Consider the following 14102-nt stretch of genomic DNA (forward strand, 5'->3'; position numbering starts at 1 on the left):
TGCCTGAAAGACCATTAGGTTTCTTTTTTCTCTGGAAAACTCCAACTCATTCTTCAAGACACAGCTCAAAGTTCCTCCCTTCTGAGATGAGTTCGCTAGGCAGGGTTGGTGACACAGTGCTTCAACATAGGGGTTTTTTACATTCCATTGCCACCTATTTATATTTGTTTTGGCCAGGCATGGGGGCTCAGCCTGTAATCCCAGTACTTTGGGAAGCCGATGCAGGTGAATTGCTTGAACTTAGGAGTTCAAGACCAGCCTTGCCAACATGGCAAAACCCGTTCTCTAAAATAAATAAATATATATATACACACACACACATATATATACATATATATACACACATATATATACATATATACACACAAATATATATACATATATATACACGCACATATATATACATATATATATACACACATATATATATACACATATATACAAAAATTAGCCAGGAGCAGTGATACGTGCCTTTAGTCCCAGCTACTTAGGAGACTGAAGTGGGAGGATGGCTCAAGCCCGGGAGGCAGAGGTTGCAGTGAGCCAAGATTGTGCCACTGCATTCTAGCCTGGGCAATAGAGTGAGGCCCTGTTTCAAAAGAATAAAAAAATTTCCCCTACTAGACTTTGAACTCAAGGCTAGAGCTATAGGGGAGGGAGACCATTAGGACAAATATCTAATGCATGCAGGACTTCAAACCTAAATGATGGTGGCCGGGCGCAGTGGCTCACGCCTGTAATCCCAACACTTTGGGAGGCCGAGGCGGGTGGATCATGAGGTCAGGAGATTGAGACCATCCTGGCCAACATGGTGAAACCTCATCTCTACTAAAAATGCAAAAAATTAGCCAGACATGGTGGCATGCACCTGTAGTCCCAGCTACTCGGGAGACTGAGGCAGGAGAATCACTTGAACCTGGGAGATGGAGGTTGCAGTGAGCCAAGATCGCGCCACTGCATTCCACTCTAGCCTGGTGACAGAGCAAGACTCTATCTCAAAAAAAAAAAAAAAAAAAAAAAAACCTAGATGACAGGTTGATAGGTGGTGTACCAAACCACCATAGCACATGTGTATCCATGTAACAAACCTGCACGTTCTGCACATGTATCCCGGAACTTAAAGTAAAATAAAATAACAAAAATTACAGGCTGGGCGCAGTGGCTCACAGCTGTAATCCCAGCAGTTTGGGAGGCCAAGGCAGACGGATCACCTGAGGTCAGGAGTTCAAGACCAGCCTGACCAATGTGGTGAAACCCCGTCTCTACTAAAAATACAAAAAAATTAGCTGGGTGTGATGGCAGGTGCCTATAATCCCACTTACTTGGGAGACTGAGGCACAAGAATCACTTGAACCCCGGAGGTGGAGGTTACAGTGAGCTGAGACCATGCCATCACACTCCAGCCTGGGCAACAAGAACAAAACACCGTCTCAGGAAATAAATAAATAAAATAAAATAAAATAAAATAAAATAAAATTATAAAAAACTAATAGAGGGAAAAAAAAGACTAGAACTATATAATTCATTATTTTTTAAACCCAGAACCTAAGTACACATGAACTAAGGTAACTTAGGTTCTGGGTTAAGTTCACATGTACTAAGTAAAAAAATTACTACACATTGTTAGCAGAAGATGCTCAGTAATTTGAATTATGCCTCTGGTCCTCTACTCCAGGTCTGTAGTCTGATGCCTTGGAATCAACTTACATAGAGAGGAAAGAGTGAATTCAGGTATAAGTTATACAACTCATTGACTGTAACCTCTCTCTCTCTCCCTGGAAAATATAAAACACTGTGCAATAAACACCATATGCAAATGTTTGGCAGATTTAATTATAATACTAAAGTTTCTAGAGAAGCACGTCTGATATTCCTTCATTAATTTTCTGAGTATTCAAAGACAATAAAAGGTGGAAGGTATTTTTGGCTTTATCTAACAACATTGTCATAATGCATTTTGACATTTTTAAATGTATTTGAAGCTGATGAAATGGAAATTTTGGATTTTGGCAGTAGAGAAAGAACTTGAATTTCAGCCAGTGGATTCCCAAGATAAATATTAGTGACTTATATTGAAAATGTAACTGAATACAGGGTCAGCTGCTAGCAGCTCAAAAGCCAAACTTGAGAGACAAGGGTTGGTGGGAGGAAAAGTAGGTTTGTTTGGAAAGCCAGCAAAACCAAGAAGATGGTGAACTAGCATTCTAAAGTATCATCTTAATCAGTACAAATTTCAGGTTCTTTTTATGTTAAGGGCAGGGGAAGGCAAGGGGGTTGGGATCAAGAGGTAACCAATAAACACAGACATCTGGGTGCCAGCCAGGGTCCAGTGAGGTTGGGAACTTCATTGTCTTTGGTCAGGTCACAATGCTCCTATAAATCTTTAAGAAAACATAGTTCATTGTTTACATATTTCTCTTTTAATCCCAGAGTTAGCCCTTAAAACTACATTATTGCTATTTTTGTATATTATCTCAGTGTTCTAAAATTATCCTTGCCTATGTGCAGGAATGGGTAAATGCCACCTAAACAATACTGGAGTTAGTTATGGTAGGTTTTTTTGCTGTTTCACTGTTACAATTCTCCACTGTCAAAGACTCATTCCACAATCTTGTGAGATTAGGGACACTGGGACATTTTCTCTCAACTGGCTACTTCCAACTGAACGGGGCCAATGTACTGCAACTGTGGAATGAAACCATTTGACTTGGCAAAGAGCTGATATTCAGGTCCTTGTAAGAAAATGGGCTGGGCACAGTAGCTCACACTTATAACCCCAGCACTTTGGTAGGCTGAGGCAAGAGAACTGTTGAGTCCAGGAGTTTGAGACCAGCCTGGGCATCACAACAAAAGCTTGTTTCTACAAAAAATTTAAAAATTACCCAGGCATGGCGGCACATGCCAGTGGTCCCAGCTACTTGGGAGGCTGAGGTGAGAGAATTGCTTGAGCCCAGAAGTTCTACACTATAGTAAGCTGTGATTGTGCCACTGCACTCCATCCTGGGCAATAGAGTGAGACTCTGCCTCAAAAAAAGAAAAGAAAAGAAATCAGACATTCAAAAACAATTTCAAGGTCCCCTCATTGTCTTCACTGTCAGAGGGTTAAAACGTCTTTACAAGGCTGGGCGTGGTGGCTCACACCTCTAATCCCAGCACTTTGGGAGGCTGAGGCAGGTGGATCACCTGAGGTCAGGAGTTCGAGACCAGCCTGGCTAACATGGCAAAACCCCGTCTCTACTAAAAATACAAAAATTAACCAGACATGGTGGTGGGGACCTGTAATCCTACGTACTCAGGAGGCTGAGGCAAAAGAATTGCTTGAACTCAGGAGGTGGCGGTTGCAGTAAGCTGAGATCACGCCACTGCACTCCAGTCTTGGTGACAACAACAACAATAAAAAGTCTTTACAGTGGCTACACAGGTTATAGTTCATTACAATGTCATGTTAGACCAACCATACTCAACCATAAAGTCATGTATGATTGCATTTTAACCAACTGAGAGGTGACTTGTAAGTAATCTATTACAAATAATAAAATACCAACATTTATGTATGATATTTTATACATAAATTACTGTATACCCAAGATAGTCCCTATCAATATATTATTATTATTATTCCTTGGAATTTGTTATTTTTTCCAAATTAGAGATGAAAAGTTATAGTTACAGATAATTCTGTAGGAAATATATGTAAACTGCCACCTACCCTGTCTATAACGTGGTCCATAGTTAGGAAGTAGCACTAGCTTCAATGGAAATTATGAATTATTTAAGTGCTTCGTTTCTCCACAATTTGAAGGTGAAGAAGAGATTTTTCAAAACGTAAGTATGCTCATAAGGGTAAGTTACATCTATGAATGTTGATATGTATGTTAAGACAGAAAACAATAAGTACCTTAAAATTCTAGAATGCCTATTAATGAAAATAATGGCGTGAAGAAATAAATTTCTTTAGCCAGTAGTCTTAACCTAATTCCATGTTTCTGTTATTTTGGGATTAGAAGGAGAATTACCTTGAGGGAGGGATGTCTAAACTTAGTTAAAGATAAGAGCTCTGAACTCAAAAAACTTTTGTTTTTTGTGACTGGTGTTTTGGAGTTTTGTTTTGTTTTGTTTTGTTTTGTTTTAGACAGGGTCTCACTCTGTCGCCCAGGCTGGGAGTACAATGGTGCAATCTCGGGTCACTAAACCTCCACCTCCTGGGCTCAATCAATCCTCCTACCTCAGCCTCCCCAGTAGCTGGGAGTACAGGCAGTGCCACCATGCCTATTTTTTTTTTTTTTTTTTGAGACGGAGTCTCGCTCTGTCGCCCAGGCTAGAGTGCAGTGGCACGATCTCAGCTCACTGCAAGCTCCGCCTCCCAGGTTCACGCCATTCTCCTGCCTCAGCCTCCTGAGTAGCTGGGACTACAGGCACCCGCCACCACGCCCAGCTAATTTTTTTGTATTTTTTAGTAGAGACGGGGGTTCCACCGTGTTAGCCAGGATGGTCTCGATCTCCTGACCTCATGATCCGCCCGTCTCAGCCTCCCAAAGTGCTGGGATTGCCTGACTAATATATATATATATATATGTGTGTATATATATATATACATATATACTAATATATAAATATGTATACATATATATATTTTTTTTTTTTGATCATTCTTGGGTGTTTCTCGCAGAGGGGGATTTGGCAGGGTCATAGGACAACAGTAGAGGGAAGGTCAGCAGACAAACAAGTGAACAAAGGTCTCTGGTTTTCCTAGGCAGAGGACCCTGCGGCCTTTCGCAGTGTTTGTGTCCCTGGGTACTTGAGATTAGGGAGTGGTGTTGACTCTTAAGGAGCATGCTGCCTTCAAGCATCTGTTTAACAAAGCACATCTTGCACCACCCTTAATCCATTTAACCCCGAGTGGACACAGCACATGTTTCAGAGAGCACAGGGTTGGGGGTAAGGTCATAGATCAACAGGATCCCAAGGCAGAAGAATTTTTCTTAGTACAGAACAAAATGAAAAGTCTCCCATGTCTACTTCTTTCTACAGACACAGCAACCATCCGATTTCTCAATCTTTTCCCCACCTTTCCCCCTTTTCTATTCCACAAAACTGCCATTGTCATCATGGCCCGTTCTCAATGAGCTGTTGGGTACACCTCCCAGACGGGGTGGTGGCCAGGCAGAGGGGCTCCTCACTTCCCAGTAGGGGCGGCCAGGCAGAGGCGCCCCTCACCTCCCGGACGGGGCGGCTGGCCGGGCAGGGGCTGACCCCCCACCTCCCTCCTGGACGGGGCGGCTGGCCGGGTGGGGGCTGACCCCCACCTCCCTCCCGGACGGGGTGGCTGCCGGGCGGAGACGCTCCTCACTTCCCAGACAGGGTGGCTGCTGGGCGGAGGGGCTCCTCACTTCTCAGACGGGGCGGCTGCTGGGCGGAGGGTCTCCTCACTTCTCAGACGGGGCGGCCGGGCAGAGACGCTCCTCACATCCCAGACGGGGCAGCGGGGCAGAGGCGCTCCCCACATCTCAGACGATGGGCGGCCGGGCAGAGACGCTCCTCACTTCCTAGATGGGATGGCGGCCGGGAAGAGGCGCTCCTCACTTCCTAGATGGGATGGCGGCCGGGCAGAGACGCTCCTCACTTTCCAGACTGGGCAGCCAGGCAGAGGGGCTCCTCACATCCCAGACGATGGGCGGCCAGGCAGAGACGCTCCTCACTTCCCAGACGGGGTGGCGGCTGGGCAGAGGCTGCAATCTTGGCACTTTGGGAGGCCAAGGCAGGCAGCTGGGAGGTGGAGGTTGTAGCGAGCCGAGATCACGCCACTGCACTCCAGCCTGGGCACCATTGAGCACTGAGTGAACGAGATTCCGTCTGCAATCCCGGCACCTCGGGAAGCCGAGGCTGGCGGATCACTCGCGGTTAGGAGCTGGAGACCAGCCCGGCCAACACAGTGAAACCCCATCTCCACCAAAAAAATACGAAAACCAGTCAGGCGTGGCAGCGCGTGCCTGCAATCGCAGGCACTTGGCAGGTTGAGGCAGGACAATCAGGCAGGGAGGTTGCAGTGAGCCGAGATGGCAGCAGTACAGTCCAGCTTCGGCTCGGCATCAGAGGGAGACCGTGGAAAGAGAGGGAGAGGGAGACCGTGGAAAGAGAGGGAGAGGGAGACCGTGGAAAGAGAGGGAGAGGGAGACCGTGGGGAGAGGGGAGAGGGGAGAGGGGAGAGGGAGAGCAATATTTTTTAAATATTTTTGTGGAGACCAGATCTTATGATATTGCCCAGGCTGGTCTCATACTCGTGGGCTCAAGTGATCCTCCAGCCTCATTCTCCCAAATTGCTGGCATTATGGATGTGACCCACCACACCCAGCCAAGAGCAGACAACTCTTAAAATTTTCTCCTTCTTTCCCAAGAGGAGGAGAACTTGTGGCTGTGCTTTAGACATTATAAATAAATGTAAGTTAAAATTTTGTAGTTATTTATAGAGATACTTGATAGTTTTGTACCTCTCTAAATATTTTCCATTCTCCGGGGCTGAAAAAAAAAAGAAAAAAGATTTGATTTCCAGGGAAATGGTGTTGAAGGGGAATTTTATCTGTATTTTATTACCAGTATTCTGAAGTTATTCATGCAATGTAAAAAAATTAAAGGATCACAGTTGTTATTTTAGAAATGTTCCCTCCTCACCTATTGTGTGTCTTGCCCTTTGGCCTCCTTCATTTTTCTTGTCTTTTCTGACTTCATGTTGCTACTCTTGTCATCATTTATCCCTTTCCTTTTGATCCATCCCATAAATTACCCCCTGCCCTTGGTCTGAATTTGACATCACCAAGACCAGGTTATGCCTCTCTACTCTTCATTTTCATTCACTTTCTTTCCTGTGGTCCTCTTTGCCCTCTAAATCCTGTACCTTCTACAGAATCCTTGAGGTCAACACTGAGATTCAAGTGGCAAGAGATAATGAGTTTTAAATGTCAAATGTTCTATGAAAAAGAAAACTTTAAAGATGTATTTTGACTTAAACTCTTTTTTCTTTGATATATTTCTACTGTCATAAGAAGTTATGATTTCAAAGAGCTAGAGATCTATTTTCATCCATGAAAGATGTCTCATCCTACGCAAAGGTCACCAAGCTTTAGGAAACATTGGGAGATGAAAACATATGCTTTTGAGAACATAATAAATACATCCTATTGAAAACAAATTTTTCTATACTTTTCCATAATTTTTAATTGTTTATGATTACTACTTAATACTTACTGAGGTTTCAGCTGAAATTTTACTGTAGAACAGCCAGCTTCCTTTCATACTAAAAAACCAAGCGTTTATCAACCACTTACTATATACTTGTCATTGCTCAAAGCATTGGGAGATACAGAAAAATAAATATATAATCTCAGAGGTCTCAGTCAAATAAGAAAAACAAATCTATAAATATGTAAGCAGCACAGTGTAATAATACATGCATACTCCAATATTTGCCAAAACAATGATGGAACCATGGTGTTAGGAGATGCAGAGGTAGATTAGACATGGATCCTGCCCTTAATGAATTTACAGTCTAGTGAAGAAGAAAAGATAGGTACATGACAAATAAAACAGATTAGAAAATGAAACCTTGTTAAATTTTCTTAAAGGGGCTGTGAAATTTTGGAACAGGAAACTTTTATTTACAACTATGGGAAATCAGAGAAGATTTCATAGAGATAATGATATGGAAGCTGGACCTTGAAGACATAGCAGTGGGAACTCTATTGTTTCCACTTAGTATTGCTGTGAACCTAAAACTGCACTAAAAAATAAAGTTCAATGCGGAGCACGGTGGCTCAAGACTGTAATTCCAGCACTTTGGGAGGCCGAGGCAGACACATCACTTGAGGTCAGGAGTTCGAGACCAACCTGGCCAAAGAAGATTATTTAATCTTTCCCTTCCTCCACTCATAGTAGCAGCTTCTATTGGATTGATACACACTGAAGAAGTTTGCCTGGGCTCCACCCCAAAGAACTGCAATCAGCTTTCACAATTCAGTTGGTCACAGTTAGTGCCATATTGGACACTCCTCAGCCCACCTACCGCCCTGGGTGAGGGAAGTGGGGAAGATCTCTTTTGCAGAACTTTCCTGGAGGTACAGAATTTCAGGTTCTCCTGATAATAGTTAGGCTCAACCAGTTTTTAGGGCATCCTCATTAGGCATATGCATGGCATGGGAAATGGGATACAGAGACCTCCTTTGAGACACTATTCATACTACAGCTTGCTAATCAGGGTGCTAAAATATACTGGTAAACAGCAAATGGATTACAGGCATGCTGAGAGATACTAATCTCCTTGGCACTCACAGCAACTAAGCTGGCTTGTCGCCAAGAGAGTCACCCCCAGCCTTAAGCAGCCTTCTTTGAGGATCTTCAGAGAGTTGAAGGAGCATGAGCAACTGGGCTGGGAGCAGGGGCTCAAACCTATAATCCCAGTACTTTGGGAGGTCAAGGCAGGAACTTGAGGCCAGAAATTCCAAACCAGCCTGGGCAACATAGCGAGACCTCCATCTCTAAAAAAAAAAAAAAATTTTTTTAATTAGCCAGGTGTGGTGGCACATGCCTATGCTCCTAGCTACTGGGGAGTCTGAGGCAGGAGGATCACTTGAGCCCAGGAGTTTGAGGCTGAAGTGAGCTGTGACTGCACCAGTGCACCCCGTCTATTACTTGGATATTGACTTTAGGAGCCAGCTCTCTACGTTATTTCAAAATAATAATAGAGCTACATTTTAAAGAATGTGCCTGCCTTTTTAGAGTGGTCACTTAGAACACACCAATACCAATGAGCATATAGACATATTTAATATATGCAACAACAAAGATTCAACTACTGTCTGCCCAGTGCTTGCCATCAGCCTTGTTGCCATCCTCCACCCTCATCTTGCTGGAGGGAATGCTCTTAGGAACCTATTACATAACTCTTCCTGCAGCTCCATGAACCCCTTGTTCCAGGAGTTTGGATGGGGACTCCCGACAGGCACTGGACAGCCAGCAACTTAAATATCTGTCATCACGTAAGTCAGACACACCTCCCTATTTGCTATTAATGGTTTCTAAGTGACCATCCCAACAATGCAAATGCCTTCTGCAAAATTTTGCTATATTATTATATTGAAATACCTGGTATGGAAAAGTTTTATAGAAATCACATTATCATAAGAAATTTCAGTGTTACAATTATAAGGAGAAGATAAGGAAAGGCTATTATTTCCAATATAATTCATGTGTTATAATTATTTTAAATAATTGTGAAGATTGGTTTAAATTTTGTCATATATTTGTGGGAAGAGAATCTATTGTTGAATATAAAAATATTGAAGAGAATATTATTTAAAAGTCTTAATCAGAAATTACATAAAGCCATTCAACTATAACACCTAATATGAAAAACTTACAGTCACGAAAGCAACTTTAAGGCCTCATTAAAAATTATGAAAATAGAGCTTCCAGATAGCTGAATACATGGAGGTTCCTGGAGGGTGGTGCACCCAGGGAGGGTATGGAAGCTCCATTCCGCTTCCCCCATATCTTACTGTATGCATTTCTTCATCTGTATCCTTTGTAATATCCTTTATAATAAACTGGCAATTTTTTTTTTTTTAATTTAAAATAGAGAGAAAGCCAGGCGTGGTGGCTCACACCTGTAGCCACAATGCCTGGCCGGTAAATGTTTTTTACAAGGAAGCCAAAAACCTAGAAAGAGACGTTTGCTTTATTGATATTGTCTGCAATGAAATTCCAGAGCACTACGACAAAGAATCTGAGGATCCTAAACACTTCAAGTCAGAGAAGACAGGATGGGGACAGTTAAGGGCAGGCTGAATAGATAGACATCAGCCCATCATGTGCTTCTACAAGCTGGAGACCACCAGTGAGGTTGGAGGTCTGGAGGCTTCAGACCAAAGTAGGGCAATTTGTACACAAGTCAGTCAAAGACGACATAGGCTTTTGCATGGGTTGATGAATGGTACATGATAATGGATGATGTTCAGGAATATGAAAAAAACATGCCTGAGCAAACTAACATAAAAAGTTTGCAATCAACATTCCTCGCCTGCAAATGACATAGTGAGTCATGCCCAAACAAGTACATGACAACTGATGAAGTCTGATAATTTGAACGAGCCATTCAGGAAGCCATCAAGAAGAAAATTGGCATTGTCCCACCTGCAATTTCTAGCTCAAGCATTCCCCGACTGCCTTCTTCTGGCAGCAGTCCCCTTCTAGTGCTTCATCACTCCATCACCCCTCGTTCCACAGATGTACCTGAATTGCTGTCAGGTCCCAAATATTGGCCCCGGAAAAAGTCTGCCCCAGTAACACTCATGCTTCCAGACCCTGAGAAAAAAAGCCACCCTGAATGTACTTGGCACATACTCTTCAGATAAACGACGTCAGCATAAATCAGAGTTACTTCATATGGATATCTCATGGGGTTTTATATTTTCATTTTGGCTTGTTTTTAAAAAAAAAAAAATCTGATATAGAAAAAGGTGCTTTGTCACACAAACATGTTCCTTCAACCTCTGAGTGTGCATATGATTAAGTAATTTCACATATGATTCCCTAAGTATGCCACACAGCATCACATAAGATGTTAGCTGTAAGATTTGCAAGGGGGCCGGGCGCGGTGGCTCACGCCTGTAATCCCAGCACTTTGGGAGGCCGAGGCGGGTGGATCATGATGTCAGGAGATCGAGACCATCCTGGCTAACAAGGTGAAACCCCGTCTCTACTAAAAATACAAAAAATTAGCCGGGCGCAGTGGCGGGCGCCTGTAGTCCCAGCTACTCGGGAGGCTGAGGCAGGAGAATGGCGTGAACCCAGGAAGCGGAGCTTGCAGTGAGCCGAGATTGCGCCACTGCAGTCCGCAGTCCAGCCTGGGCGACAGAGCGAGACTCCGTCTCAAAAAAAAAAAAAAAAAAAAAAAAAGATTTGCAAAGGACAGAAGGAATCTTCTGTGGTCATAGCAGTAAGCCTGGGAGGAAGCCTTGTTATTGGGCATTTGATGAGGTTTGCAAGGACTCTGAACATAAATAAGAGGCCGAGCACGGTGGCTCATGCCTGTAATCCCAGCACTTTGGGAGGCTGAGGTGGGCGGATCACCTGAGGTCAGGAGTTCGAGGCCAGCCTGACCAACATGGAGAAACCCATCTCTACTAAAAATACAAAATTAGCCAGGCTTGGTGATGCAGGCCTATAATCCCAGCTACTTGGGAGGGTGAGGCAGGAGAATCGCTTGAACCCGGGAGGTGGAGGTTGTGGTGAGCCGAGATCGTGCCATTGCACTCCAGCCTGGGCAACAAGAGTGAAACTCCATCTCAAAAAAAAAAAAAAAAGAATTACTAAATGAACACTTTGCACCACTTTGTTACAACGTGTGGTAATACATAAAAGGTGGCTGGGCACGGTGGCTCACGCCTGTAATCCCAGCACTTTGGGAGGCCAAGATGAGTAGATCACTTGAGGCCAGGAGTTCAAGACCAGCCTGGGCAACATGGCGAAATCCCGTCTCTACTAAAAAAAAAAAAAAATACAAAAATTAACCAAGTGCAGTGGTGCACGTTTGTAATCCCAGCTACTCGGGTGGCTGAACCCTGGAAGGCGGAGGTTGTGGTGAGCCAAGATCACACCACAGCACTCCAGCCTGGGTGACAGAGTGAGACTCTGTCTCAAAAAAAAAAAAAAGTAAAGTCAATTTCCACTCATCAAACCTGAAATTCTCCAAAATACTCTCAGGCATAATATACTTAATTGTTAAATTTCGAACTGCTGATCATCAATATTTGAATGCCAATAGTTATTAAGGTCCCTATGTTGTTAAGTGTGACTCAGGATTTGGGGCCTAATTAACTCTTTAAACTTTTAAAAATTTTAATATCAATCTTTAGAGGCTCCAAGTGTAATTAATGATAACTTATTTATGCTTTCCACAGAATTTAATAAAGATTCCACTTAGAATAGAAGAAGAAGATAGTGCACAAAAGGATTTGGTTAGAAATTGAATCGATTTATGGCAATGAACTGCTTCCTGCTCTGTATCAAGAAATGATTCATTTGGCTGAGGATGCACTTCCCTGCAAAGGGGAAACCAATACTGTGCAGTGGAGACGCCTAGGTTTTGAAGACCAACAGATTGAGCTCAATTCTAGCTTAAAAATTTGCTACCTGTATAACCTTGGTCAGCACCTCCAAATGTCAATTTTATTAATTGTGATTTACCTTTTATTTAATCAACAAAAAACGCTTAAGGGGCACCTTCTCTGTACTGGGTATTATTCCAACTGCTGTAAATTCAGCAATAAAAGATACCTGTCCATCACAGAATTTACTTTTTAATCCTTTTTTTTTTTTAATTGAGACAGAGTATCACTCTGTTACCCAGGCTGGAGTGCAGAGGTGTGATCTCGGCTCACTGCAACCTCTGCCTCCCAAGTTCAAACAATTCTCCTTCCTCAGCTTCCCAAGTAGCTGGGATTACAGGTGCACACCACCACACCCGGCTAATTTTTGTATTTTTAGTAGAGATGGGGTTTCACCATGTTGGCCAGGCTGGTCTCGAACTCCTGATGTCAAGTGATCCACCCGCCTTGGTCCTTGATACAAAGTAAGTGCTCAGAAATGTGAATTTTTTCCTATTTCTCTAATACACTACCTTTTCAAAATTCATAAACATCTCAAAGCAAAAACAAAATCCACTTGTTTCTGTCTTTTAATAACTAAAATAAAAATTATGAAAATATTTTATTGGTTTTCTATTTAATATGTCCCCCAGTGCTGTGTAATTTCTCTTCTCTTCATAATCATTTAATATAAACAATGGTGAATTGTTCCCCTGGCTTCATATAGACACCCTAAATCTTCTTCAGTTTACCCCAGTGTGTGGTACAAATATCATTTTGGGGCCAGGAGAAGTGGCTCACTCCTGTAATCCCGGCACTTTGGGAGGCCAAGGTGGGCAGATCATTTGAGGTCAGTTGTTCTAGACCAGCCCGGTCAACATGGCGAAACCCCATCTCTACTAAAAAAAAAAAAAACATACAAAAATTAGCTGGGCATGGTGGTGCACATCTGTAATCCCAGCTACTTGGGAGGCTGAGGCATGAGAATCACTTGAACTCGGGAGGCAGAGGTTTCAGTAAGCCGAGATTGTGCCACCACACTCCAGCCTGGGCAACAGACCAAGACTTGGTCTCCAAAAAAAAAAAAAAAAATCACTTTAGTGTGTGTGCCATGACATGGAAAAGCTTAAGAGACACTGATTTATACTGATACACATTGACCATAAGATTTGCAGAAAATATGCAAATGAGGAACATTTGCTAGAGTATGGATATCTTTATCAGTGCATTCCCTGGAAAGGCTAGCCTTCTCTTGTAACTATTTGGAAATGAAACAGAAATCCTGAGATTTATAGAGTAACCTTGATTCTTCAATTCTTTCTTCTCCCAATTCCTAAGTAACATGTTCTCATCTAATTCATTTCGATTTTTCAGATCTTGCCAGTAAACTAAATTGATGGATTATCTGCTTATCTTATATCCAGTATTCAACTATGTACCTGGGAAGAATACGGGGGAAAAAATACAGACACTTAGACTTTGAACCAACCTTAACCACAAGAGTTAAGGAACGGGGGTCCCAGAAGGGAGGTTGGAAATGGTCTAAAATGGAACAGGTGCATGAGAAGCAACTTTACACAAAAGATGAGGGCAATGCAGCCCCAGAGTAAATTGTGACCCACTGTAAGAGAGCAACTTAAAATGCAGCTCACAGCATATGAAATGTCTCCAGCTGAATTCGAAGGACTAAAGCCCAGGACAAAGCAAAGAGAGAAGCCTAGGATCTTGGCCTATGTCATTTTCTGTGACTCCAAGATCAAGTAAATAAATAATGGGCAATAACCGACTTCATTTGGAGCCATTTAAAATGATTGCCTCCTTCAGCAGTGGCGTAGGACACCCAGCACACAGATAGGACCTGACAGGCAGGCGGTCAGGAGATGGCACTGAGCGTGAAGCTATTGGTAGGAAGGTATCTGGGAAAGAAAAAGCACTTGCCTGAAATCCCCAAAGCTTTCTCCATTA

At 42.9% G+C, this 14102-nt stretch overlaps 1 pseudogene; it reads left to right on the forward strand.

Moving 5' to 3' along the window:
* On the forward strand, nucleotides 9686–10624 carry LOC100422076 (phosphatidylinositol transfer protein cytoplasmic 1 pseudogene; annotated as a pseudogene).

Source organism: Homo sapiens, chromosome 1, assembly GCF_000001405.40.
Source record: "Homo sapiens chromosome 1, GRCh38.p14 Primary Assembly".
NCBI lineage: Eukaryota > Metazoa > Chordata > Mammalia > Primates > Hominidae > Homo > Homo sapiens.